General features: G+C 51.1%; 1 long non-coding RNA gene and 3 pseudogenes across 14 annotated transcripts in view, besides 4 other annotated features; 2 read left to right on the forward strand and 2 right to left on the reverse strand.

Annotated features, from left to right (window-relative positions):
* The window catches only part of ENPP7P4 (ectonucleotide pyrophosphatase/phosphodiesterase 7 pseudogene 4), a 61,192-nt pseudogene extending 54,603 nt beyond the window's left edge, over positions 1-6,589 (forward strand).
* On the reverse strand, positions 1-13,612 carry LOC102723696 (uncharacterized). Of its 8 annotated transcripts, XR_007096051.1 has the most exons (6): positions 12,828-12,980; positions 11,595-11,942; positions 7,977-8,113; positions 5,957-6,049; positions 5,612-5,735; positions 4,650-5,429 (listed from the first exon to the last, which is right to left on the reverse strand). It is a non-coding gene; the product is annotated as an uncharacterized LOC102723696 (long non-coding RNA). The 8 variants fall into 8 exon arrangements; XR_007096049.1 differs by lacking the exons at positions 4,650-5,429; positions 12,828-12,980 and adding an exon at positions 1-2,276 and having other exon boundaries at positions 11,595-12,821; XR_007096048.1 differs by lacking the exon at positions 12,828-12,980 and having other exon boundaries at positions 11,595-12,821.
* Positions 12,970-13,019: a silencer, noted in NCBI's record as "silent region_14669". NCBI's record gives its function as "represses an Ori minimal core promoter by ATAC-STARR-seq in GM12878 lymphoblastoid cells {active_cell/tissue: GM12878}" and the evidence as "EXISTENCE:reporter gene assay evidence [ECO:0000049][PMID:35858748]".
* Positions 13,040-13,309: a silencer, noted in NCBI's record as "silent region_14670". NCBI's record gives its function as "represses an Ori minimal core promoter by ATAC-STARR-seq in GM12878 lymphoblastoid cells {active_cell/tissue: GM12878}" and the evidence as "EXISTENCE:reporter gene assay evidence [ECO:0000049][PMID:35858748]".
* Positions 13,520-14,110: an enhancer, noted in NCBI's record as "H3K27ac-H3K4me1 hESC enhancer chr3:125635188-125635778 (GRCh37/hg19 assembly coordinates)". NCBI's record gives its function as "activates a minimal SCP1, AML or CMV promoter by ChIP-STARR-seq in naive H9 embryonic stem cells {active_cell/tissue: H9 hESC(naive)}" and the evidence as "EXISTENCE:reporter gene assay evidence [ECO:0000049][PMID:30033119]".
* FAM86JP (family with sequence similarity 86 member J, pseudogene) lies at positions 13,776-27,199 on the forward strand (annotated as a pseudogene). 2 transcript variants are annotated; one of them, NR_024251.1, is made up of 5 exons: positions 13,776-13,992; positions 16,039-16,101; positions 18,000-18,080; positions 22,141-22,290; positions 25,670-27,199. The product of NR_024251.1 is annotated as a family with sequence similarity 86 member J, pseudogene, transcript variant 1 (transcript). The 2 variants fall into 2 exon arrangements; NR_024250.1 differs by having other exon boundaries at positions 13,776-13,894.
* Positions 13,870-14,069: a silencer, noted in NCBI's record as "silent region_14671". NCBI's record gives its function as "represses an Ori minimal core promoter by ATAC-STARR-seq in GM12878 lymphoblastoid cells {active_cell/tissue: GM12878}" and the evidence as "EXISTENCE:reporter gene assay evidence [ECO:0000049][PMID:35858748]".
* ALG1L1P (ALG1 like 1, pseudogene) overlaps positions 26,447-27,470 on the reverse strand; it is a 61,266-nt pseudogene continuing 60,242 nt past the window's right edge. For all 4 annotated transcript variants that reach the window (NR_171197.1, NR_171196.1, NR_171195.1 and 1 more), the window contains one exon: positions 26,447-26,742. The product of NR_171197.1 is annotated as an ALG1 like 1, pseudogene, transcript variant 6 (transcript). The remainder of the gene's footprint in view (positions 26,743-27,470) is intronic.

The following is a 27,470-nucleotide window of genomic DNA, read 5'->3' on the forward strand; positions in this document are numbered from 1 at the left end:
ACCACTGCACTCCAGCTTGAGCAACAGAGCAAGACCCCGTCTCTAAGAAATAAACAAATAATAAAAAATAAACACCAACTTCATTATTCAAAATTGTGCATAGTGCTTCACTAAACATTGAATAGCAGTGCTTTCATTTTTGTCTTCCCAACAACCCTATAAAATAGATGTTCTTAGTTCCACCATTTTAAAGAAGAAATCAAAACCTAGAAAGAAGTGACTTGAGATTAAAAATGGAAGGTTGGGCTGGGTGCAGCGGCTCACACCTGTAATCCCAGCACTTTAGAAGGCTAAGGTCGGTAGATTGCTTGAGCCCAGGAGTTTGAGACCAGCCTAGGCAACACAGTGAAACACCATCTCTACAAAAAATGCAAAAAAATGTAGCTGGGCACAGTGGCACGTGCCTGTGGTCCCAGCAACTCAGGAGGCTGAGGTGGGAGAATTGCTTGAGCCTGGGGGTGTTGAGGCTGCAGTGAGCCATGATCACGCCACTGTAAGATAGGAGGCAGGACTTGACTCCACAGGCAGGGCTTGGACACCAGACCAAATTGAGGACTAGCTAAAACAGGGCTGGGACAGAAGAAGCTTTCCATCAGACATGCTCACCAGTGTGCCATGTGAGTTTACTATTGCCATGGCAACACCCGGGAGTTACTGCCCCTTTCCATGGCAATGACCCAATGACTCAAAAGTTACTACCAATTTTCTAGAAATTTCTGCATAAACTGCCCTTTAATCTGCATGCAATTAAAAGTGGGTATAAATGTGATTGCAAACTCTCTGCCGCTACTCTCCACCTCCAGGGTAGCCCTGCCCTACAGGAGCAGTCACAGGGCTGTAACGCTGCCTCTTCAATAAAGCTGTTTTCTTCTATACCTCCAGCTTGCCCTTGAATTCTTTCCTGGGCAAAGGCAAGAACCCTCATGTGCTATTGAGAGGTGACAGCGTTCTGGCAGCCCTGGAGCTCACTCTCAGTGTCTCCTCTGCCTGGGCTTCCAATTTGGCAGCACTTGAGGAGCCCTTCAGCCCACCGCTGTACTGTGGGAGCCCCTTCCTGGGATGGCCGAGGCTGGAGCCGGCTCCCTCAGCTTGCGGGGAGGTGTAGAGGGAGAGGCACGGGCGGGAACCGGGGCTGGGCGTGGCGCTTGCGGGCCAGCGCGAGTGCCGGGTGGGCATGGGCTCGGCAGGCCCCACACTCGGAGCGGCCAGCCAGTTCCGCCGGCCCTGGGCAGTGAGGGGCTTAGCACCTGGGCCAGCAGCTGCTGTGCTCAATTTCTCACCGGGCCTTAGCTGCCTCTCCACAGGGCAGGGCTTGGGACATGCAGCCCACCATGCCTGAGCCTCCCCACCACCCACTGTGGGATCCTGCAAGGCCTGAGCCTCCCCAGTGAGCACCGCCCCCTGCTCCACAGCGCCCAGTCCCATCGACCACCCAAGGGCTGAGGAGTGCCGGCGCTGGGCGCGGGACTGGCAGGTAGCTCCACTTGCGGCCCCAGTGCGGGATCCACCTGGTGAAGCCAGCTGGGCTCCTGAGTCTGGTGGGGACTTGGAGAACCTTTATGTCTAGCTAAGGGATTGTAAATACACCAATCGGCACTCTGTATCTAGCTCAAGGTTTGTAAACACACCAATCAGCACCCTGTGTCTAGCTCAGGGTTTGTGAGTGTACCAATGGACACTCTCTATCTAGCTAATCTAGTAGGGACTTGGAGAACTTTTGTGTCTATCTCAGGGATTGTAAACACACCAATCAGCACCCTGTCAAAATGGACTAATCAGCTCTCTGTAAAACAAACCAATCGGCTCTCTGTAAAATGGACCAACCAGCAGGATGTGGGTGGGGCCAGATAAGAGAATAAAAGCAAGCTGCCCAAGCCAGCAGTGGCAACCCACTGGGGTCCCTTTCCACACTGTGGAAGCTTTGTTCTTTTGCTCTTTGCAATAAATCTTGCTGCTGCTGACTCTTTGGGTCCACACTGCCTTTGTGAGCTGTAACACTCACCTTGAAGGTCTGCAGCTTCACTCCTGAAGCCAGTGAGACCAGCAACCCACCAGAAGGAAGAAACTCTGAACACATCCGAGCATCAGAAGGAAAAAACTCCGGACGCACCGCCTTTAAGAACTGTGACGCTCACCCCGAGGGTCCGTGGCTTCATTCTTGAAGTCAGTGAGACCAACAACCCACCAGTTCTGGACACACTATGCTCCACTGGGGGGCTCCCCTGACCTGCATCAACTGCGCTCTGGCCTGGGTGGCAGAGAGAGAGAGATCCTATCTTAAAAAAAAGAAAGAAATTTAAGGTTTAGTGCTGCCCTCAAGCCTGCGTGGGTGATCATTATACAGAGTACACAAAGATCACCAAAAAATTCACCACAAAGGCCTCCCGCCACTAGTACTCATTTGCCCATATCAAAAAATATGCAAGCCTGTTCATACAAAGACACACACAGATACTCGTAGCAAAATTATTCATAATTGTCAAAAGGTGGCAACAACACAAATGCCTATCAACAACAGATGAATGGGCAAACAAGTACAGTCTACCCGTGTGATGGATGGAACATTAATCAGCCAAAATATGGAATGAAGAGCTGATTCATGCTACAACCTGGATACACTTTGAAACCATTAGGCTAAGTGAAAGAAGCCAGACAAATAGTAGCTGATTCTATATATACACACACACACACACACACACACACACACACACACATATATATGTATGTATGCCCAGAATATGAAAATCCAAAGAAACAAAGTAGATTAATGGTTGCCAGGAGCCAGGGGTGGGGATAGTCAGGGGGAAATAAAGGGTGACTGCTAATAGATACAGGGTTTCTCCTCGGGTAATTAAAATCTCTAAAACTGATGGTGGTGATGGCTGCACAACTCTGTGAATATATTAAAAACCACTGAATTATACACTTTATTTATTTATTTAGAGACAGGGTCTGGCTCTGTTGCCGAGGATGGAGGGCAGTGGTGCAATCTCAACTCACTGCACCCTCCACCTCCCGGACTCAAACCATCCTCCCACTTCAGCCTCCTCAGTAGCTGGGACTGCAGACACACCCACCATGCCCAGCTAATTTTTTTGTATTTTTGGTTGAGACAGGGTTTTGCCATGTTGCTCGGGCTCATCTCAAACTCTTGGGTTCAAGCGATCCTCCCACCTCAGCCTCCCAAAGTGCTGGGATTACAAGTGTGAGCCACCATGCCCGGCCAAATTGTACACTTGAAATGGGTAAATTGTATGGTATGTGAATTATCTTTTAGTAAGCCTGTTATTAAAAAGCAGCTTTAAGAGCCAGGCATAAGGGCCATGCCTGTAATCCCAGCACTTTGAGAAGCCAAGGCAGGAGGATCACTTGAGCCCAGGAGTTCAAGACCAGCCTAGACAATATGGCAAAACCTGGTCTCTACAAAAAATTTAAAAATTAGGCTTGGCGCGGTGGCTCACGCCTGTAATCCCAGCACTTTGGGAGGCCAAGGCAGGTGGTTCACTTGAGGTCAGGAGTTCAAGACCAGACTGGCCAACATGGTGAAACCCTGTCGCTACTAAAAATATTTTTTAAAAATTAGCCAGGCATGGTTGTGGATGCTGAGGCTGAGGCAGGAGAATCGCTTGAACCCGAGAGGTGGAGGTTGCAGTGAGCCGAGATTACGCCACTGCACTCCAACCTGCTGGGTGACAGAGCGAAACTCCATTTCAAAAAAAAAATTAAAAATTAGCCAGCGGTGGTGGCCCGTGTTTGTAGTCCCAGCTACTCAGGAGGCTAAAGGGGGAGGATTGCTTGAGCCCAGGAGGTTGAGGCTGCAGTGAGCCAAGATTGTATCACTGCACTCTGGCGTCAGCAACAGAACAAGGCCGTGTTTCACAATTTTAAAAACAGTTAAAAGACAAGCCTAAAGAAAACACAAAAACCAATGCTAACTGTGAGACATAAATGAGGTGGTCTATTTTTTGTTAACTACCAACTAACAATTCATGGCAGAAACAAAGTTTAAATGATGCTATAGCCGGGCACCGTGGCTCACGCCAGTAATCCCAACACTTTGGGAGGCTGAGGCGGGTAGATCACCTGAGGTCAGGAGTTTGAGACCAGCCCGGTCAACATGGTGAAACCCCATCTCTACTAAAAATACAAAAATTAGCCAGGCGTGGTAGCAGGTGCCTATAATCCCAGCTACTCAGGAGGCTGAGGCAGGAGAATCGCTTGAACCCCGGGGGGGCGGAGGTTGCAGTGAGCCAAGATCGCACCATTGCACTCCAGCCTGGGCGACAGAGAGAAACTCCATCTCAAAAAATAAATAAATAATTAAATAAATGATGCTATAAACCTCATGTGAGGGAAGACTGTCCCAGGTACAGCTTGAAGAACCCTTGCTGTGAATAGGGGCCAAATGCGATAATTCTGTTTGCAACTTGCTTCATGTTAGCTTGTTGCAACTCCAGAGTGTAACAGGTATGAGAAAACTCATGGGGTTACTGTTTAATGTTGGTGGAAATATTCACATTAAAATATAATGGTTTATCACCTAAGGTATATTTTATCCCTCAAGTGGCCCGGAACACTGTGATTACTGCACACCAATCGCACGCCCATAGCTAAGGCCTTGCCAAGGAGAAATTCCGCAGTCACCTGGCCTATTTGTAAACCTGATTTATGATGTTTTGTAACAGGATATCTTGACAGTAGCATGAGGACATTTAATGAGACAAGAACATTCCCCACTGACCAACCAGATAGTTTGAGGGAACAGGATGCTGTGCTCAGTTTAATCTTCTGCTGAACCGACCATTAGGCAGAAAATCCTTTGAGTCAATGCCTCTCACTGAATCCACTTCTCATCCTGTCCACCTGCCTGCTTTGCAGTGCAGAGTAAAGTGGGCCTTCCTTGACTCTCTTCAGGGACCAATGTGCTTGAGGCCATCATGAGGACTTTCTTTTTTTTTTTTTTTTTTTTTTTTTTGAGAGAGTCTCACTCTGTCGCCCAGGCTGGAAGGCAGTGGTGTGATCTCAGCTCCCCACTGCAAGCTCTGCCTCCCAGGATCAAGTGATTCTCCTGCCTCAGCCTCCTGAGTAGCTGGGATTACAGGCACACGTCACTAGGCCCAGCTAATTTTTCTATTTTCTGTAGAGAGAGGGTTTCACCATGTTGGCCATGCTGGTGTCGAATTCGTGACTTCAAGTGATCCACCTGCCTCAGCCTCCCAAAGCGCTGGTATTACAGGTGTGAGCCAACGTGCCAGCCGAGGGCTTTCATTCTTGATGGACTGCTCCATAGCCTCAGAGACAGTCGGACTGGTTTCTTCAACCAGAGCGGAGCAGACAGGCAATTTCTGTATCCACCAGGCCAAATATTAGACCAACTCTTCAATGTACAGAGAGCATCACATTTCTTATATGCTAGAATATCTGTTGGTCTAAAATATAAATAAATAGTGTTGTAGCCAGCCACAGTAGCTCATGCCTATAATTCCAGAGCTTTGTGGGGCTGAGGCAGGAGGTTCACTTGAGGTCGAGTTTGAGACCAGCCTGGGCAACATAGCAAAACTGCCCGCCCCTCACCGCCACCTGCCATCTCTACAAAAATTAAAATAATTACCTGGGTATAGTAGTGTGGGCCTGTAGTCCCAACTACTTGGGAAGCTGATGTGGGTGGATTGCTTGAGCCCAGGAATTTTGAGGCTGCAGTGGGCTATGACTGCATCACTGTACTCCAGCTAGACCTTGTCTCAAAAAAAAAAAAAAAAAGTGTTGCAATTGACATTTCTTTATCATTTGAAAAGAGGGAGAGACAAGAAAGGTTTTTGGCATTTACCAAGCAATTACCCAGAATCCTCATCCCATCCTACCCCCACCCTTCCCCTAAAAATGTATGTATGTGTATTTATACCATAAAAAAATACATCTATTTGGCTCTGGAACCGGATTGCTTGGGTTCAATTACCTGATCTAGCATTTGCTCCTGTTGACTCAGTGTAGACAAGCTCTGTAACTCAGTTTCCCCAGCTGTAAAATGGGGAATGGCGCCTTTACTGGGCTGCCATGAGGGTAAAGGAGGGAACGTATATTTATGAAGCATTCAGAACAATTCATGATACATAGTAAGCTCCATATATTTGAGCTTATTATTACTGTCAGTACGATTATCATCATCTTGCTGTTTCCAATGGGTACGCTTTCTACATTCTCTTTCTTAAAGACCTTTAAATCCTTGGTATTCCCTCCACCACCACAGAGAGCAGTGTCCTTGTAGTTTAAATTCTCAAAGACTTCATGGATCCAACAAGCATGACATTAACTAAGGGACAGTTTTCTTTCAGCGGATTGGAATCTAAAATGGCTTTTTTATTGTTATTATTTTTCAGAGAATTATAATGTGTTTCAACAAAGGCAGCCATGGCTTTGATAATGTCCTCATGGATATAAAGACCATCTTCAGAGATTTCGGGCCAGATTTCAAGAGGAATCGCCTGGCCGAGCCTTTTAACAGCATCCACATCTACCCATTCGTGTGTAAGCTCCTGGGAGTCACCCCCAAACCCACAACGGCTCCCTGGCAGTCACCCAGGAAATGCTCATGAGCTCTTATGACCAGCAGCCAGGTGAGACACAAAAGCAGCTGCCAGAAAACTGTCAGCAGAGTCTGCTCTGTCCTGAGATAGAAAAGAATCAAAAAGTGGTCTCATGGTGGGGAGGAGGGAATTCAAGCAGAACAATCCTGTTTCCCAGCAGCTTTGGAGCCCCAGGAACAAGATTCCAATAGCTCCAAACAGATAGCACGGGAGGTAGGGAATCCCTCGACCTGCTGGTAACATTTGACATAGTGCCTTTTAGGCAAAGGGAAGTTGCTCTATAGAGAAAGTCGGGCTGTAATCCTTCCGGTCCTAAGGAAATCACTGTGTACAGACTGCCCCCAAGATGCCCCTTCCAGATACGGAAATCTGCCCTCCTTCAATAGCACAGAAAGCTCTTCATAGTGGAGGAGCAAAACCCTGCTGTTCACTCGATACTGAAAAAAGGAGAGGGGAGAGTCTGAAACGAGACTGCAAATTCTCAAGACTTCAAACCCCTTCAATCTGGGTAATACAAAGGAAGAATAAAATCATCTCAGAATTTGCTGTTGCCTTCTTTTGTGGGTTGTTTACAAACACTGGCTATCTTTCCTTTTCCCAGGAGAGACTTGGATACTGTCCAGTGATCTAACGAGCACTTAAAGCAATTACATGCAAAAAGGAGTAATGGCCTGGGCACCGTGGTTCATACTTGGGACTTTGGGAGGATGAGGTAGGAGGATCACTTGGGGCCAGGAGCTTGAGACCAGCCTGGGCAACATAGTGAGACCCTGTCTCTACAATAAATTAGCTGGATGTAGTGTCACATGCCTGTAGCCCCAGCTACTGGGGAGGCTGAGGCGGGAGGATCGCTGGAACCCAGGAGTTTGAGGCTGCAGTGAGCTGTGATTGTACTACGGCACTCCGATTCCTGCCTTAAAAAAAAAAAAAAGGAAAAGAAGGGAGGGCAGGGGTGATATACATCCTTTCTCTTCTTGTAAGCCACTGCCCATGATCTCCTTGTGAACATACAGAAAGCAGTCCCTTTTGTAGAAAACTAATTAAATGAATGACCAATTCACCAAATTATGGAGGATTTTTCTTCTTTTTAAGTTTTGGAGTTTTGCTACAACTATTTTGTAGCCCCTCCCCTGTCCCACATCCCACTGGGAGCCTGGGATAATCTGCGTCTGACTGTCAGTTACTGATAAGCAGGACATCCCACAAACAGATTTTCAGCGAATTGGCTTTCAGCAAACTGATCATTTGGCAAAGTGGTCATTAGGCAAATGGGTCATTTGGCGAAGAGGTCATTTAGTAAATCGGCTTTCAACGACTTCCCCTATGAGATTTCTCTAGAGTGAGCATTTTCTTGGGTTAAATGTACACTTCATTTCCATAATTAATACTCACTAGCGGCTAGATGGGAACAGACAATTAAAAACCCTCTGGTTTCTTAACAGGAGCGGAGGTGCAGAGGGCATCTGCTCTGCAAGGCGCAGTGATCAGGCTCAGCATTGTCACAGGAGCTCTTGCGGTTCTGTTTGTTACTAGTGTGACATACACAGCAATTCAATGGAAAAAGGACTGAGTGGTATTTGAGTCTCCCGTAGTTGATCATCATATGTCTTGATAACCCATGACAACTCCTTGCCACATGCCACGGGAGGTCCAGCACTCCAAGAGCCCAGCAGCCAGGGCCGGATTCATGGGCTTGCAACCTGGACAGTCCCACAGGGACACAGAAGAGTCCCCACTGTGGTTTAATAATCTGCCATCACCATCTTGAAATTCTTTATTTTTTAACAAGGGTGGCCAGGGATAGTGGCTCATGCCTGTAATCCTAGCACTTTGGGAGGCCAAGGCAGGCAGATGGCTTGAGCCCAAGGAGTTTGAGACCAGCCTGGGCCACATAGCAAGACCCCATCTCTACAGAAAATACAAAAATTAGCCAAGCGTGTAGTCCCAGCTACTTGGAGGCTGAGATGGGAAAATTACCTGAGCCCAGGGAGGTCAAGGCTGCAGGAGCTGAGATTGTACCACTGCACTCCAGCCTGGATGACACAGCGGGATCTTGTCTAAAAAAAATCCACAAGACCAGGCACGGTGGCTCATGCCTGTAATCCCAGCACTTTGGGAGGCTGAGGCAGGCGGATCACTTGAGGTCAGGATTTTGAGACCAGCCCGGCCAACATGGTGAAACCCCATCTCTACTAAAAATACAAAAATTAGCTGGACAAGGTGGTGCATGCCTGTCATCCCAGCTACTCAGGAGGCTGAGGCAGGAGAATAGCTTGAACCTGGGAGGAGGAGGTTGCAGAGAGCCGAGGTCGTGCCATTGTACTCCGGCCTGGGGCACAAGAGTGAAACTCCAACTCCAAAAAAAAAAAAAAAAAAAAAAAAACCATAACAACAACGAGGGCCCTGCATGTGGCTGAAAACAACAGAAATGTATTGTCTCGCAGGCCTGGATGCTAGAAGCCCAAAATCAAGGTGTCGGCCGGGCTTCGCTTCCTCTGAAACATGTAAGAGAGAATACTTCCTTGCCTCTCCTGGCTTCTGGTGGCCGCTGGCAATGCTTGGTGTTCCTTGTAGATGCATCGCTCCAATCTCTCCTCCCTCATCACATGGCTGCCATCTCCCTCTGTCTCTGTCTTCACCTGACATTCTCCTCTCTTATTTTATTTTTTTGAGATGGAGTTTCCCTCTGTCACCCAGGCTGAAGTGCAGTGGCACAATCTTGGCTCACTGCAACCTCCGCCTCCTAGGTTCTGGCGATTCTCTCACCTCAGCCTCCTGAGTAGCTGAGATTACAGGCGCCCGCCACCACGCAGTGCTAATTTTGTGTTGTTAGTAGAGATGGAGTTTCACCATGTTGGCCAGGCTGGTCTCGAACTCCTGACCTCAAGTGATCCGCCCACCTCACCCTCCCAAAATGTGCTGAGATTACAGGCATGAGCCACCATGCCCAGCCCTCATTCTTTCCTTTTACAAGGACACCAGTCATTGCATCTGCCTCCTTACCAGCAGCCCCCAATCCAGTATGACTCATCATTACTTGATTATATCTACAAATACCCTATTTCCAAATAAGGTCACATTCCTGGCTACGGAGGATTAAGATTTCCAATTTTTTCCCTGACTCAATTGTTTTTGAGTCAGGGCCTCACCCTATCCCCCAGGCTGGAGTACAGTTATGTCATTATAGCTCACTGCAGCCTCAAACTCCTGGGCTCAAGGGATCCCCTGACCTCAGCCTTCCAAGTGGCTGAGACTACAGGAGCACACCACCATGCCCAACTATTTTTTTTTTTTTGTACAGATTAGGTCTCACTCTGTTGACCAGGCTGCTCTCCTGACCTCAAGTGATCCTCTTGCTTTGGCCTCCCAAAGCACTGAGATTATAGGCGTTATCCCGTGCCTGGCCCTCTTTCTACACCTCAATCATTGTATCATTAGCCTGAGCTGCCCATAGTCCTTATTCTGCCCATCCCTGACCGATCTCCTCCTTTAACATAACTTCCATCTCAATATCATGGGGCCTGCTGGGCACTGCAAACAGCCTAAGGAAAGCAGAAACTTTACTTAACCTTAAATTCTATTACAAAGTCCACATTGAACGTAATTTATATTTGAACTATAAAATTTTCTGTAAGTTGAAACATGACCTATAAAGGTCCCTACACCCTGAAGCAACGTTTTAGAAAGAAATCAATTGGTCCTTTTCTGCAGAAACCATTAACCATAGGAGAGATAAAGGAAAAACTTCAATGTACTGACTGAACTTCCATGCCCATAGCTTAATTTCTAAAAGGCAACCATTCCATACTGTTAAACTGCCTTAGGTTGTTATTACTGTTATTAAAGAGACCCTCAAAGCCAGAAGTTGAATCTTGACTGTAGTTCTTGCACGTATACGCACACTCTTGCAACTGAAACCATTCAGATTGTCCTAATGCTCTTCCCCATAGTAACACCACCTGGAATTTTACGTTTGGTTTTAAGCATCAGTCCTAATCTTCACTTGCACCTGAACACACTGCACCTGTGAGAGCCACGTGACATTAAAAAAAATCCCTTCAGTGAGGCCGGGCATGGTGGCTCACGCCTGTAATCCCAGCCCTTTGGGAGGCCAAGGCAGATGGATCATGAGGTCAAGAGATTGAGACACTCCTGGCCAACATGGTGAAACCCTGTCTCTACTAAAAAATACAAAAATTAGCTGGGCGTGGTGACGCGTGGCTGTAGTCCCAGCTACTCGGGAGGTTGAGGCAGGAGAATCGCTTGAGCCTGGGAGGCAGAAGTTGCAGGAGCCGAGATCATGCCACTGCACTCCAGCCTGGCAACAGAGGGAGACTCTCTGAAACAAAAAAATCCCTTCAGTGCCTTGATCCTTCCAGATTCAGATCCAAGATAGATGACATTTGGCCCTCATCCGAGCCCGCACACCAAAATAAAGATTTCTTCTGGCCGGGCGTGGTGGTTCATGCCTGTAATCCCAGCACTTTGGGAGGCAGAGGCGGGCGGATCACCTGAGGTCAGGTATTTGAGACCAGCCTGGCCAACGTGTTCAAACCCTGTCTCCACTAAAAATACAAACATGGCCCGGCATGGTGGCTCACGCCTGTAATCCCACTACTTGGGAGGCTGAGGCAGGAGAATCGCTTGAACCCGGGAGGTGGAGGTTGCAGTGAGCCGAGATTGCGCCATTGCACTCCAGCCTGGGCAACAAGAGAGTGAAACTCTGTCTCAAAAAAAAAAAAAAAAAAAAAAAAAAAAGAAGAAAAGATTTCTTCTGTGTGCATGGCTCAGCTCTGTGGTCCGCTAGGGTCCTTCCTCAATCCGCTTCCAATCTATGGAATCAGGAAAGACTGAACCAACCTAGATTTATTAATATTTTAGTATAACATAATACAGTGTTACTTATTATAGCATTGACCGTATATGCCCTTTTGCTCCTTGGAGGAAAGGCAATTAATAGCTATTATGTGAGTTAATAAAATAAGCCCAGGATTTATGAGTGTAACTAACCTGTTCCCATTGGTTTTCCTTGTCTCCTGCGGGCAGAGAGCTGATCAAAACAGCAAAAGCAAAGCAGTGCCCCTGGCCCAGTTCTGAGGCCAACCTTCCTTAACCACCCAGACCCATCCCCGGTTAGGACTTGCTGTGGATTCTCAGGTGACTCCATCTGAGGATACAGGGACTGAGAGGGTGTATGCAATATCTCAGACCCAGAAACTGTTGATTCTGTCTAAAAACACAGCAATAACCACATCCCACCCTCTTGATTTAGATGAAAGTGTTTGGCGGAATAAAAGATGAACCTTTTTTTTTCTTTGTCAGATCTTGCGCTCATTTGGTTCTGGTGGGGAACAACAGCTGTGAGAGAACAAGTGTATTCAATTAGAATTAATTCCCCCTCTTATTCTCACGGCTGAGCAGGGCTCAAGTGCCTCTCATCTGAAAGAGGTAATAAGATTTAATCTGTCTCCTCATCTACCTTCTGCAAGTATACTTAACAAATTAGCTCTCGGGACTCTTCCAAATGGAGTTTTATGAGGGATTTGCTAAGGTAAACGTTTTAGACTTTGAACACAATTCAGATTTCAGGGGCAGTACTGAAATCTGAACCGTGTCGCTAACTGCCCTGCCTTTCAACTCAAGACACAATAACTTTGAACTAAAATAATTATATTTTTGTTGTTTTCCACTCTGTCCCCACGTCTATATCACCACCACCCCCAATCCCGCCCCCCAGGAGCTAACTCCTCCTTCCTGTCCCTGCAAGATCAAAACTCCTCCTGGAAGCCCTGCTAGCTCTGTCTGCTCGCCTTCGTGGCAGATATTGCTATTGTACTTTCATGCTCATTTGTGTGGTAAGTACTTCAATGTCCACTTCTTCCACGAGCCCCTGAGCCCCTGGAGGGCCTGGACCACACCTAGTTTTTCTCACTGTTACACCTCCCTTGCCAGACACATGGTAGGCGCTTAATAAGTATTTGGTGAACGGATGGCTTGTTTGGTGACAGTCCAAAGGCTGGGGGACAGACAGAAAGCTCCCTCCTATCGGGCCCCAGACGGGTGGCGCTGATGGAGAGGAGGCTAGGATAACGCCTCCAGGACCGAAGCGCGCACCCGTAAGGCCCCTGCCAAAAAGACCTTCCTGAAGGCGGAGGAACTGCGAGTGCCTACGTTGGCCCAAGGCCTGACACTACGATCCCGGGGACCCTCGCCCTAACCGGCCCCACCTCCCGGGCCCCAAACCTGGACTCGGCCCCGCCCGAAGCTCCGGATCCTGGGGCCCGCCGCTGGCCCCGCGTCGGCAGACCGTGGGCTCGCTCCTGGGCCTGCCTCAAACCCTCCGCAGGTAACGCCTCCCGAACTTGAGCCACACTCCAATCCCCTCCTCAAACCCCTCCCCGTTTCTCACACCCTGGACCCCTCGCTCCGTCTCGGCCCCGCCCCAAGCCCAGCTCCCTCTCGGCCCCTGAGCCCAGCCCCGATCCGCCTCCCAGTCCCTTGGTCCCTGCCAACACCGGACCCTCCCTAAGCTCCGCCTCCCAGGGCCCGCCTCCTGAGCGCAGCCCGCAGCCTAGACTCGGCCCCGCCTCCCGGACCCTGGGCCCCTCCCCACGTCGGCCTGTCCTAAGATCCGCCTCCCAGAGTTCGAGCAGTGCCTGGCAACGTGCTACGACATAGTCAACGCCCCGCCCTGGCCCCGCCTCCTGAGCCCTTCTCTGGGTCTGGCCTTAGCCCCGCCCTAAGACCTGTCTCCTGGGCTCTGCTCCGACTCTCGCCTCCTGAACCCAATCATCGTTTACCCCCACCCTAACGCCCGCCTCCAGGACTCTTATCCTGCCCCCACGCAAGGCCCCGCCTCCAGGACGCCTCCAACCTGGACGCTTCCGAAGCCCCGCTTCCAGGATCGCCCTGTCCTGGCCCCGCCCCAGGACCCGCCAACCTGAACTCTCCCCAGGACCTGCCCCAACGACGCTTATCCTGGCCCTACCCCAGGCCTCGCCCTCATGACGCTCATCCTGGCCCCACCCCAAGCCCCCGCCTCATAACGCTCATCCTGGCCCCGCCCTAGAGCCGCCCCCACGACTCTCCTCCTGACCCTACCCGCAGGCCCCGCCCCCTCTCTGCCCCCGCGCACTGCCCTGGGCCCGCCCCGTCTTCAGTCCAGGCCCGGCTTCCGCACGGTCTCCCGGCAACACTGCGGCCCCGCCCACGTCATGGCGCCCGAGGAGAACGCTGGGACCTAACTCTTGCTGCAGAGTTTGCAGCGCCGCTTTCTGGCGGCGCGCGCGCTGCGCTCCTTCCCCTGGCAGGTGGGCGGCGGGGCGAGCGGAGAGGCCCGCAGGGCTCGCGGGAGTCCAGGGGCAGACGGGATGGGTCTCCGTGCAGAAGCCCCCGACACGCCCGCCACGTGAGTGCCTGGGCTCCCGCCAGTCAGGTCCGCGCGACCCGGTCCCCATCCCTGGGGCCTGGCCAGAGTCGCTCACACCCTTCCTGCCCCGCGGGCTGGCGGCATAAGCTGGGGGCCTCTCCACCGTCTTAGGGGGCAGAGGCGCACTCGTTGTGGGATACAGTTCACGATCATTTTCACGACTTTTTAAAGGCAGTAATCGTTCTGGTCACTGGGACACAGCTGCCCTCGCCCATTCTAAAAAGTCAGCGCCCTCAGGACCGCGGGTAACCACGTCCTCCTGAGCGCGGTGACCAGGTCACAGGCTGTCCCCTCGTGCCTCAGTGTTCTCATCTGTATGTTGAGAACTGCACAGAATCGGCTCATGCTCTGAGGCTCTCACACCTGTGATGGAAGAGACAGAGAAGGGGGTGGCCTCTCGTCTCCCTGGGGACCTACCATTCTCAGCACAGGCACATGGCAGGCAGCAGCCTCCCTTCTGCCAGTAGAGGGGCTTAATGCACCCGGCCCCATTTGTAATTCATGTGCAGTGAGCTCACTGGGATGAGTCAGTTTGGATATATATTCCTCCCTGGAATTTTATGGGGTGTTGCTTAATCATTTGCGTTATTCCATTGATATGAAATATTTAGCACTCAGAGATCATTTCTGGTCAGGAGAAATTTGTGCATTTTTAACCCAAAATAGAAACCTTCATAAAAGCATCATAGGTCTCCATTCAATATTGGCTATAATTGTTCACATGCCCACGCTGAATGCTAACTTGGGCTCACCCTCAACACCCATGAGGTGGGTACTATTATTATCACTCACATTTGACCAGAGGGATTGTTTGATTAGGGTGCAGTAGTTGAGAGTTCAGACCCAGGAGACAGCCTGCCTGCTTCAAATCCTGTCCCAACCCCTGGCCCTGTGTGACCTTGGGCAAGTGACTACATCTCTCTGTGCTGTTGTTTTCTTATTAATAAAATGGGGGATATAATGATACCTACCTCTTAGGGTTGTTGTCAGGGTTGAGTACAAAAGCCTGTGGATCAGTGCCTGGCTCATGGTAAATGCATGTCGGTGTTAGCTAGTGTTTTTATTCAGTCTCAAAATGTTTAATAAATGCCTTCCGTGAGCCAGGCACCATGGATCAGCAGTACCCATGACAGATGAGGCTCTGCTTGCATGGGAGAGCCAGAGAATAAACAAATAAATAAATAAACAAGAAAAGACCAGATGAGAGTGGCTTTAAAGCCAATAAAACAGGGAAATGGTGAATGGAGCAACTGGGGAGAAAAGTCACCAAAGTCGGGGAATCAGGGAAGCCTTCCCCAAAGAGGTGGCTTTTGAACTGGGGCCTGAGTGGTGAAGCAGCCAGCCATGGGAAGGGCTTGGGGAACAGGATATGCAAAGGCCCTGTGGTGGAAACAAGCCAGCTGTGGTTGAGGAACAACAGCAAGGCAGCCAGTGTGGCTGGAGTGGAGTGAGCAGTGTGGGCCAGGGGTGAGGGAGAACAGGCCAGAGAGAGGGATTAGGACCAGGTCTTGTAAGGCCTTTTACAGCATGGAAGGAGCTCTGAAGCAATGAAGTGCCTTGCCCTGTGTCACATACCAGCTGAGACAGTCTGCCTAACTCGGGAGCCAAAGTTTGCTGCTGGGCTTGAGGCCCCTGTGAGAGGACAATGTAACCCAGGCTGGTATGGGCACATTCTGCATTTCCACTTAAACTCAGATGGCAAGCCCATCAAACCTTGGTGCCATGGCTGCCCTGTTAATTCCTGGCTGACCAGTGCAACCAGGGAGCTGGCCCATGACCCAGGTGGCCGCTAAGTAGCCAGGACTAATGTGGCCAAGAGTCAGTCTTCTAGCCTTCTTCCTGTGACTCATCCAGGTGCACCCTGTGACATCTGAAGGTCAGGCTTTCAGCTGCTGTGGCTTCCACTTCCAACTGGCTCCACGTCCCCAGGGAGAGATCACACAGCGCTTTGCCAACACATTCTATTGCGTGTTTAATGTTCCTGTGAATGCGCCCTTGAGATTTCTCTCTCTCCCGTCCACACAGAGCTTAGAAGCAAAATTAACAGACTCATCAGATTCTGAGCTTCTGCGGGATATTTTGCAGAAGGTAAGAATCCCAGAGTCCCTGGGACTCATGACCCTGTCTCCTGAATCTCTCCGGAAGACCTGAGAGAAGAACCACAGGTGTGCTTGTACCCTTTAAAAACACCCCTGTTCAAAGAACATTGAACATTGAGTCAGCACTGCAGGTGGGTGTTGGCACCTCTGACAGCTCCAGCTCTTTCATTTTCTATCTAAGACTTAGACAAAGACATCAGAATATACAAAAATCTGCATGAGAGGGGGAAATCTAAGGAAAGTTTTTTAAACCATCCACAGCAAAAACAGAGATGACAGGTGCAAAACAGCTTCTAGCATTTGGTAGATGCTCAGAGACTTTCTTTTTTGCATTCATGAGGCCTGTCCTGCCCACTCCTGTCTCTTCTAGACCTAAATGGGCCCTTACTTTGCCCAGGGTGGGGTTTGGACTCAAGAGCATCTGCATGCAGGTGAGAGGCAGGATCACCACCAGGCCCAGCCACAGCCTGACCTTGGCCTTGAGGGCCAAGTGCAGATCACCCTGCATCCTGGGTCTTCACCTGTGAAGGGCCATGAGCCCTTCTGAAAAGACAAAGCAGTAGACTCCGTCCCAGAAAGAAGTGCACCAGAAGAATACATTTTCCATACAAACTCTGGAGGCAGACATTCTCCACCCCCACCCAACCAGCCCATCCTAGGAGCCCCAGTGAAGAATTCCTGTGCTAGAGGTGAACCAAGATTATCCATGTGGAAAAGATGCAGCCACAGCAGGGAAGACTTTCGGGGCAATACAGTAGGTCAGGGCTTCGAGCATGGAGATACCTGAAGTTATCTCGCACCCTGCTCTGAGTTGCACCCTTAGCCTCACTCTTGTAGGTGGTGAAGCATGAAATGTAGGGATAGCTGCTTTCAAACCCAGCACAAGGCTGGGTGCACTGGCTCACACCTGTAATCCCAGGACTTTGGGAAGCTGAGGTGGACGGATCACCTGAGGTCAGGACTTCAAGACCGGCCTAGCCAACATGGCAAAAACCCATCTCTACTAAAAATACAAAAATTAGCTGGGCGTGGTGGTGCACGCCTATATTCCCAGCTACTTGGGAGGCTGAGGCAGGAGAATCGCTTGAACCCAGGAGGCAGAGGCTGCGGTGAGCCTTGATCAGGCCACTGCACTCCAGCCTGGGCAACAGAGCGAGACTCTGTGTCAGAAAAAATGAAAAACCAGCACCAGCCTGAAGAGCCTGTGTATTGTGTGGGGTACTTTGCTGCCCTTGGGCAGAATCTGCATCCCTCCCGGCCAGCAGGCACTGCGGACTGTCTCCTCCCTCTCCCTCCAGGCTCCTGTTTTCCCACCGTCCCCACTCCTGCTGCACCAGTCCCTCTGCCCTCCTTTCCAAGTGCCAGCCCGTGGCCACCTCAGAGCTTGCACCAGCTGTTGCCACTGCCTGGAACTTGCTCATCCTGCACTTGGCTTCTCTTGGCTTTAGCTGGAGTGTCACCCTGAGCGTCCCCTCCCCTCCATCCTGTCCCCAGGGACACACACTCCCAGAGAGCAGTTGCCGAGTGGGCCTTCCCGCCTCTTCCATAGAGCCAGACAGTTGGCGACTGTCCTTACTGCAAGCCCTGGTTCACACTGGCTCCCCTGGGAGGGAGGTGGTTTGGGCCCACGTGCCCTGTGTTCCCGCTCAGAATGGGCATTAGAAATGCTGCCACAGCCTGTGCCACTGCAGTGGAAGCATTTTTAGGAAACGGGTTATATCTTCAGACAAACTTCAGATGCATGGGGCCAGAATGCTGTGTCCATCTACATACATCTTTGCTGAGAGATGGGGTAGCCTGGAGTTTGCCCTCTGTTGTGTTGGCTTGAAGCTCATAGGAGACTTAAGACGGGCTCTCGAGCAACCAATGTTCTGTCCTTTGCTGTAGACTGTGAAGCATCCTGTGTGTGTGACGCACCCGCCGTCAGTCAAGTATGCCCGGTGCTTTCTCTCAGAACTCATCAAAAAGGTCAGTTATGGGCAGTGTCTGCCCAGTAGCCAGACAGCATAGCCACCTGCGTGCTAGAGCCCCCATCCTTCCCAGGCCCTGGGCCTGCTTTGCAAACCCCAGCATGGCAGGGGCCTCCCCAGGCGACTGGCTGCAGCCACGTGTGACCCATGGGAGACAGTGCAGGGCGGGAAGAAGGGGAGGTCAGCGTCTCTCCCTCACTCTGCCTCCTGGGGTTTCCGCAGCAGCTGCTTCTCTGGGGCCCCAGCTCCCAGCATATGGATTCTCATTCCTACCAGGCTGGCCCAGCCCACAGCACTGGAACCCTCACCCACACCCTCTGTCCTGCCCGCCGAAGGGTTTGGAGTTTCCTGCTCTTGTCTGTCTCTGGGTTGCCCCATGGGCCCCTCTTGGAAGGTTTAGCTCTTGCCATACCTTTGGAACTAGTTCCTCTGGTGAATTCTCTGCATTGATCCTGCTAGAATGAGCTCTTTCCTGACTGATACAGGATGGATTTTATTTTTTACTTCTTTATTTTTTTGAGACAGTCTCACTGTGTTGCCCAGGCTGGATTACCGTAGCACAGTCTCGGCTCCCTGAAACCTCTGCCTCCTGGGTTCAAGCAACTGTCGTGCCTAGCCTCCTAAGAAGCTGGGACTACAGGCACATGCCACCATGCCTGGCTAATTTTTGTATTTTTAGTAGAGACAGAGTTTCACCATTTTGGCCAGGCTGGTCTCGAACTCCTGACCTCAGGTGGTCCGCCTGCCTCGGCCTCCCATTGTGCTGGGATTACAGGCATGAGCCACCGCACCTGGCCTAGGGTGGATTTTAAAGATGGGCCCAAACATGCAGGGTTCGACATAAGGATGTCGAGAGGCCGTTCCTCAGTAGGCAGTAGCAGACCTGCTGAGTGAAAGGGCCACACTTTTAGCAAATAAACAATCCCCTGCTTCTCCAATACCTGCTTTCTCCCTAGTCCTCCCCAAAAGGGTGCATCTGTGGTCACCAGCAGGTCTGCCCTGTGCCACCAGGAGAGGGCAGCAGTCACCCAGTATACCCTGCTGCTGCCCTGTGAATTTTAGGATGGGGCCAGCCCTGGAGAAGCAGCCTGCTGACAGCCACAGCCTGCAGCATGGGCCGCCCTCACAGTTCTGCCTGGGCTCACTTAAAAGCACCTTTTGTTTTCCTGCTCTCTGTCATGGTCATGTGGCAGCTCTCACGGAATCCTTGTCTCCTGCCCTAAACTACACCTAACTCTACCCTCTCAACACCTCTCATTGAAGGCCCTCCCATCCAGGTTTCCCTACCAAGTGAATTTTTTTTTTAGAGACAAGGTCTCTTGCCCAGGCTGTCCTCGAACTCCTGGGCTCAAGCAGTCCTCCCATGTCAGCCTCTAGAGTAGCTGGGACTATTCGGCACACACCACCACGCCCAACGAAGTGAATATTTTATATGCCAGCTGGCCGGTATTACACCATTCCATCCCAAATCTCCCCTCCAAACTTGGTGAAAATCATCTGGCCATTTTTACAGATTAGAACGAAAGCAAACAAGCTCTCACTCTGTCTGCCCCCAGCACGAGGCTGTCCACACGGAGCCTTTGGACGAGCTGTATGAGGTGCTGGTGGAGACCCTGATGGCCAAGGAGTCCACTCAGGGCCACTGGAGCTATTTGCTGGTATGAGAAGGGTACCCTCCTCCCCCTCACAGCCCAGATACCCTTCCTGCACAGACAAAGTGAAAACGTGGGTGTGGGTTCAAATCCTGACTCACCCATTCTGCAGTCTTAGACATGAGGTCCATCAACCTTCTTTAGCCTCAGTTTCCCTGTCTGTAAATCAAGCACTGCAACAACAACAGCATGTCTCATGGGGTCGTTGGGCATTTGTCCAATAGGTGACACACTCTACCTGCTTCACAAGGACCTGGTGCCCAGTCCTCAAAGAATACTTGGCAGGTTCAGGCGTGATGGCTCATGCCTGTAATCCCAGCACTTTGGGAGGCTGAGGCGGGTGGATCACCTGAGGTCAGGAGTTTGAGACCAGCCTGGCCAACATGGTGAAACTCTGTCTTTACTAAAAATACAAAAATTAGCGGGGTGTGGTAGTGGGCGCCTGTAATCCCAGCTACTCGGGAGGCTGAGGCAGGAGAACCTCTTGAAACCGGGAGGTGGAGGTTGTAGTGAGCCAAGATCGCGCCATTGCACTCCTGCCTGGGCAAAGAGAGTGAAACTCTGTCTAAAAAAAAAGTAGAAAAATTAGCCAGACATGGTGGCACATGTCTGTAGTCGTACCTACTTGGGCGGCTGAGGCAGGAGAATTGCTTGAACCCAGGAGGCAGAGGTTGCAGTGAGCCAAGATTGTGCCACTGACTCCAGCCTGGGGAACAGAGCTCAAAAAAAATAAGATAAAACATAGATACAGAAAACCACAAAGGAAAAACATAGCATATTGAATCATCACAAGGCAGCCACCCCTTCATAGCCACACCTGGCCCCTGGCCACCACTGACCTGTGCTCCATCGCCAGAATTCCATTGTCTCAGGAATGTTCAATGAATGGAATCCTGTGTGGCCTGAGGTGAGTGTCTTTCATGCCACGTGACACCCTTGAGGCCTGTACAAGCTGTTGGCATGTCAACAGTTAGCTGCTTCTCATTGCTGAGTGGCGATTGGTCCTGTCATGGTTTATTCAGCCATGTGGTGGATGGCTACTTGTCTTCTAAGCCACTTGCCTTCTGATTGCTGGAATGACTCTCTCGCCCTCTCTTGGTGCAGCCCTCAGGAGGCTCAGTCACACTCTCCTAGAGCACAGCCATCATCTCCCAGGCATCACAGGCCTGGTCACATGGGATGCTACCCTCTACCTTGCAGAATGGGCCATCGAGAACCCGGCAGCCTTCACTCATAGGTGACCTTGGGGTGCAGGGCAGGGGACCGAGGCAGGCTTACCCTGGTGCAGTCGCAGACATGGTCCCCTTTCCTCCCGCCAGGACTGTCCTAGAGCTTGGCAGTGGTGCTGGCCTCACAGCCCTGGCCATCTGCAAGATGTGCCGCCCCCGGGCATACATCTTCAGCGACTGTCACAGCCGGGTCCTCAAACAGCTCCGAGGGAATGTCCTTCTCAATGGCCTCTCATTAGAGGCAGACATCACTGCCAACTTAGCCCCAGAGTGACAGTGGCCCAGCTGGACTGGGACATCGCGATGGTCCATCAGCTCTCTGCCATCCAGCCAGATGTTGTCATTGCAGCAGGTAATGCCCAGCCCCGGGCACCCTGTGCAGGCGGTGTCCTTGCAGCTCTACCCAGCTCTTGGCTCTGGGAAAAGGGAACAATGGATGCTATCGGGCATGGACATGATGGAACTTCCAGAAGAGTTACTCTGGGCCTCCAGGGTGACATCAAAGGACAGGGGTGCCTCTTAAGGTGACCTTCAAGCCACAGCCCTCTTGTTGGAGACAGGCATACTCCCGTTACAGTCGTCACCACATGGCTCTGTCCCAGAGCCATGCTTGTGTCTTTCAGAGACCACAGGAGGAAAACAACCACTTCTGGGATGAGGACAGGGCCCTTGAGAGAAGGTGGTGTTTGGCTGGGCCGCCAAAAACCCCTCGCCCCTGCCAGCACACTCAGTCTCCTCTCTGGTCGAACAGAGCTGTGCCTGTTGTCCTGGGTCCCAGCCCTGAAAACCACAGGTCCAGCGGTGGCCAGGGACACAGGCCCACCCCTGCAAGCCAGCAGACAAATCGGCAGACGCCTGAAACACGAAGTTCATGGCAGGGTCAGGCTTTGTGTCATTCACAGCCCTCTAGATAGGCTGAGAACCAGAGCTCGTTTTTTAAGGAACACCAGTGAGTCTGGAGATTTTTTTCTTTTGCTTCGGTCTTTTGCAGCTTTCTCTACTAAGGGTTCTCCTTTTTCACCCAAGTAATTGCCTTTCCATCTAATGGCCAAAATGGTCAAATGGCATCTAATAGTCTCATATGACCACTGCCTCTCTGGCTCGCCCTGCTGCTGAGGTCAGCATGACCTGGGACTGTCCGCTGGTCCCTTTCAGTAACCTGAAACTTTCACCGTAGACGTGCTGTATTGCCCAGAAGCCATCGTGTTGCTGGTCGGGGTCCTGCTGAGGCTGGCTGCCTGCCGGGAGCACCAGCGGGCTCCTGAGGTCTATGTGGCCTTTACTGTCCGCAACCCAGAGACATGCCAGCTGTTCACCACCGAGCTAGGTGAGCCCCCATGCCCACCCGGGCCTGCATGGTCCCCGAGCTGTCCCTGCGGGACTCCAGTGGAAGTGAAAGAACTGGGGGCTGGGGAAAAGCTAGGATGCCCCACACTCCCACACCATGCGGGGAACTAGGGCAGAGGCCGGTGAGCAGGGTGGGCTCGGGGCTGGGGGCTTGTGGCAGGAGGAGGGCAGCTCAGCACAGGGAGGGAGGATCTGAGCCCAGCAGCCCTACTGTGTGCTTCAGAGCAGGGTTCCCTAAGCCCTTGGGCCTCAGTTTCCTCATCTATAAAATGGAGGTGGTGGGAGGGGCAGTCGGGGTCAGGGCTGGACACAGCTGTGGCCTGCAGGACGCTGGAACACAGGCTGTACGGGCGGATCCACCATGCCACTGTCCTGAGCACCCAGTTGATGGAAGACGAGCAGGGTGACTATAGAGAAGGGGAATTGACCCCGTAGTGGGCCAGCCACTGTCCTCAGACCTGACATTTGTCAGCCCCCAGCACCTGTGAGAGTGTGCTATCATTGTCCCATCTCACCGACAAAGACACTAGGACACACAGAGGCTAAGCAACCCCCGAGCTCCCACAGACTGCAGCCCGGCCACCTGGCTCTCGTGCCTCCACACTACACCCAAGCCCCCCATTGCCACCAGCCTTTGCCCCAGCTCCCCCTGAGCACAGCCCCTCCTGGCAGCCATGTGCACAGATGCACGCGCAGGAGCCTCTGCCTGCACACACAGACACGGGTCCAATGCCTGTCCACGTGGGGCAGCCCGTTAACTACAGAGCCAACAAACAAGCCAGCACACGAAGACACACTAGGTTCCATGACAGAGTCCCTCACAACCTCGCACAGGAGGCTGGCCGGGCGCGGGGCTCAGGCCTGTCATCCCAGCAGTTTAGGAGGCTAAGGCAGGAGGACTTCTTGACACCAGGAGTTCAAGACCAACCTGGGCAATATAGTGGGACCCCATCTCCACAAAACATACAGAAACTAGCCGGGCATGGTTGCGCACACCTGTAGTCCCAGCTACTCGGGAGGCTGAGGTGGGAGGATGGCTTGAGCCCAGGAGGTGGAGGCTGCAGTGAGCCCTGATCTCACCACTGCACTCTAGCCTAGGCAACAGAGCAAGACCCTGTCTCAAAAAGGCAAAAAAAAAAAAAAAAAAAGGAAGTTTTTCTTCAGATACTTACGTGAAAAAATACCTGCAATATCTTTTAAGTGAAAAAAACAGTGCCAAGCAGCACACATAGTAGAAGCCCCCACCCACCTTTTTTTTTTTTTTTTTTTTTTGAAACAGAGTCTGGCTTTGTATTGCCCAGGCTGGAGTGCAGTGGTGCCATCTCGGCCCACTGCAACCTCCCACCTCCCAGGTTCAAGCTATCCTCCCATCTCAGCCTCCTGAGTAGCTGGGACTACAGGTGCGTGCTACCACGCCTGGCTAATTTTTGTATTTTTTGTAGAGTCGAGGTTTCGCCATGTTGGCCAGGCTGGTCTTGAACTCTTGACCTCAAGCGATCTGCTGCCTCAGCCTCCCAAAGTGTTAGGATTACAGGCATGAGCTACTGCACCCAGCCCCATTTTTGTTTAAAAAATAATAATAATCACCCACACATGGTTATGAGTACCTATATTCCCAACTACTCAGGAGGCTGAGGCGGGAGGATGGCTTAAGCCCAGGAGTTTGTGGCCCCCTTGAGCAACATAGCAAGACTTCATCTCAAAAAAAAATTATCACAATAATCATTTTCACATAAGTATACCTATAGGGGAAAACCTGGAATATATATAGAGCAGGCTTGTCCAACCTGCGGCCCAACACAAATCTGTAAACTTTCTTAAAACAGTATGAGGTTTTTTTGTGATTTTTTTTTCTTTTAGCTCACCAGCTATTGCTAGCATTAGTGTATTTTATGTGTGGCCCAAGGCGATTCTTCTTCTTCCAGTGTGGTGCAGGGAGGCCAAAAGATTGGACATCCCTGATATACACGTTAACAGGTGCCATCCTTGGATGGCAGGATTATAGAGACTTCTACACGTTCATGTCTGTACTATTTCATTTTTATAAATACGCATTTTCCACTCGTAACAAAAAACTGTGACTGAAAATCATCCCGGGCCACAGTGTCTCATGCCTGTAATCCCAACACTGTAAGAGGCTGAGGCTTTGGGAGGCTGAGGTGAGGGGATCACTTAAGGTCAAGAGTTCAAGACCAGCCTGGCCAACACGGTGAAACCCCATCTCTACTAAAAACACAAAAATTAGCCAGGCGTGGTGGTGCATGCCTATAATCCCAGCTACTTGGGAGACTGAGGCAGGAGAATCACCTGGGAGGCATTGCAGTGAGCTGAGATTGCACCACTGCACTCCAGCCTGGGGAACAGAGTAAAACTCTGTCTAAAAAAAAATAATAAAAGAGGCTGAGGCAGGAGCATCACTTGAGGCCATGAATTCAGGACCCCATCTCTACAAAATAAAAAAATTACTAGCATGGTGGCACACACCTGTCATCCCAGCTACTCAGGAAATGGGAGGATTGCTAGAGCCCAGGAGTCGAGGCTGTAGTGAGCAATGACTGTGCCACTGCACTCCAGCCTGGGTGACAAAACAAGATCGTATCTCAAAAAAAAAAAAAAAAAAAAGGATCATTCTGGCTAACGGCTCTTCAGACATCTGTGCTTATGAGAACACCAGCCCCTTCTAAGCTGTGTGTGTGTGTGTGTGTGTGTGTGTCTGTGTGTGATTTTTTTTTTTTGAGATGGAGTCTCACTCTGTCACTCAGGCTCGAGTGCAGTGGCACAATCTCGGCTCACTGCAACCTCCGCTTCCTGGGTTCAGGCAATTCTCCTGCCTCAGCCTCCCAAGTAGCTGGAATTACAGGCACCCGCCATCGTGCCTAGCTAATTTTTGTATTTTTGTAGAGATGGGTTTTACCATGTTGGCCAGGCTGGTCTCGAACTCCTGAACTAAAGTGATCCACCCGCCTTGGCCTCCCAAACTGTTGGGATTACAGGTGTGAGCCACTGTGCCTGGCCGCTTTCTAAGCTTTGTGAAGAGTGGGTTGACGGAGCAGCCAGGTAGATGTGGGTTCAGATCTCTGCTTCTGTCCTGCTGTGCCAAGTGCTGGGGCAGATGCGGGTAGAGAGTGGACAGCGGCATGGTGCCCGCTGCTAGCCATTTCTATGCAAAACCAGATTTCTGGTCCCATCCTGGAGGCCAATTCTAGGCACCTGGGTGGGCCTGGGAACCTGTGAACCAAGTAAACTGACTTGGACACCGCCCCCCCACCCCGCCAGGCCTGTCCTAGCAGCCCCACACAATACGCTCATGTCCTGTCCCCAAACACTGCCATCCTGAAACACATGTGCTCTGTTTCCAGGCCAGGCCAGGATCAGATGGGAAGTGGAACCTCGTCATGACCAGAAACTGTTTCCCTATGAAGAGCACTTGGAGATGGCAATGCTGAACCTCACACTGTAGGACTCACACACGACTCCAATGGGATTGTGAGAATCAAGTCACTCTCAAGGGAAGAGGTTTCATATGGGAAAGCTGATAAAACTTTCACTGGACTGGAATGTTTGGAGAATGTTAATTTCCAAATCAGGAACTACAAACTGCCCTCTAATAAGACATCGGCTATCTAAGCGTGTGGGTGCTCCCTTTCTGCCAGCAGTTCTGGTTCTTAAGGAAATCGCCATCACTCAGACATGAAAACTCTGGCTCCAAAAATAGCATTTTCTTTGTGCAAATAAAAACGTGTGTATCAAGTATGTGGACACACTCGGTTCCTCACAAAGCCAAGCCTGCTGCAGCTGCCACATCCCTGGACACACTTGGTTCCTCACAAAGCCAAGACTGCTGCAGCTGCCACATCCGCGGACACACTCAGTTCTTCACAAAGCCAAGCCCGCTGCAGCTGCCACATCCCTGGGCTTACGATGCAGCAGGTGCTTTTTTCAAGACAGGAATCAAAATGTTAGGAACACGGCAGAAAGGTGACACCTGGAGACCAAACGCAGGATAAGGAGTACTGCAGAGGTCACAGGGAAGTCACAGAACAGTAATACGCTAGCAGGGGCATGGGGCATGAAGAACAGAAGAAGAGAGGAAGTGTTTCCGAGCCTCCGGAAAAGAAATCAGAGCCAAGCACAGCTTCCCGGGTCACAGAACCAATTCATTCACCAGGCGGCACCACTGCCGTCATTTCAGCTTCTGGCCACTGGGAGGCGCTGCTCAAAAGGGTTTGCCCTGAGACTCCGAGAAGAAGCTGCGGGAAGGACAGCAGGGGTCCCGGGGTTTTAGCCTCTGGCCCAGGAGTTGTATGTCCATAACCAAAGGGAGCACAGTCTGCACCCAGCTCTCATCCCATCGGAGCTGCTGCGACTCCCGCAGGTTCTTCCAAAACTGGTTTAGCTTGCCTGCAGGATCAGGAAAGTTTGAGAAAAGCATCTGCAAAAAAATAAAGAGCAGAGCTTACCTCATTGCCTGTCCCCACCCCATCCCAGGTCACCACCTGGCTGACCCCAGGTCCCCGACCCAACAACAACCCCTCCCAAGTTCCTAACTCTCTCACTTGGACTCGAGACTCTTCACGCCCCAGCAGCGCTCCGCCTCCAACTTGACATCATGCTTTCTGGAAACTTCCCCGTATGTCCCACTTTCCCACACTTGGTGCCCTGGAGCACCTCCCGGCCTCTAACGTGCTGTATGTTCCCCTGCGAGCACCCTCCTCTTGGCCTCTGGCCAAGTCCCACCCATCTGTGGGTAACAAGGGGGTGTCGGTGTTCTTTTCAGCCTTGCTAAACTCTCTGAATCAAGGATCACAAACTACAGCCTGCAGGCCAAATCCAGCCCACAGCCTGTGTTTGTAAATAAAGTTTTATTGGAACAAAGCCACACCCCTTAATCTACAGATGATCTGTGGCTACTTTCACACCACAACAGAGTACCATGGTTCTGACAGAGACTGGGGGACCCAGTCTAAATGACTTCTGACCTGGACCTTTACTGAAAATCCTGCCAATCATTCTGTTGGCAAGAATGATGTATTACTTTTAGCAATAAGAAACAAGTAACCTTTGCAGAATTCCACCCATCTTTCAAGGCTGGTCCCAGAAGCTCCCTTTGCCCGCCCACCTACCTGATCCTGATCACTTCCTAAACTGCAGCCCGGCCCA

Source organism: Homo sapiens, chromosome 3 (genome assembly GCF_000001405.40).
Source record: "Homo sapiens chromosome 3, GRCh38.p14 Primary Assembly".
Taxonomy (NCBI): Eukaryota; Metazoa; Chordata; class Mammalia; order Primates; family Hominidae; genus Homo; species Homo sapiens.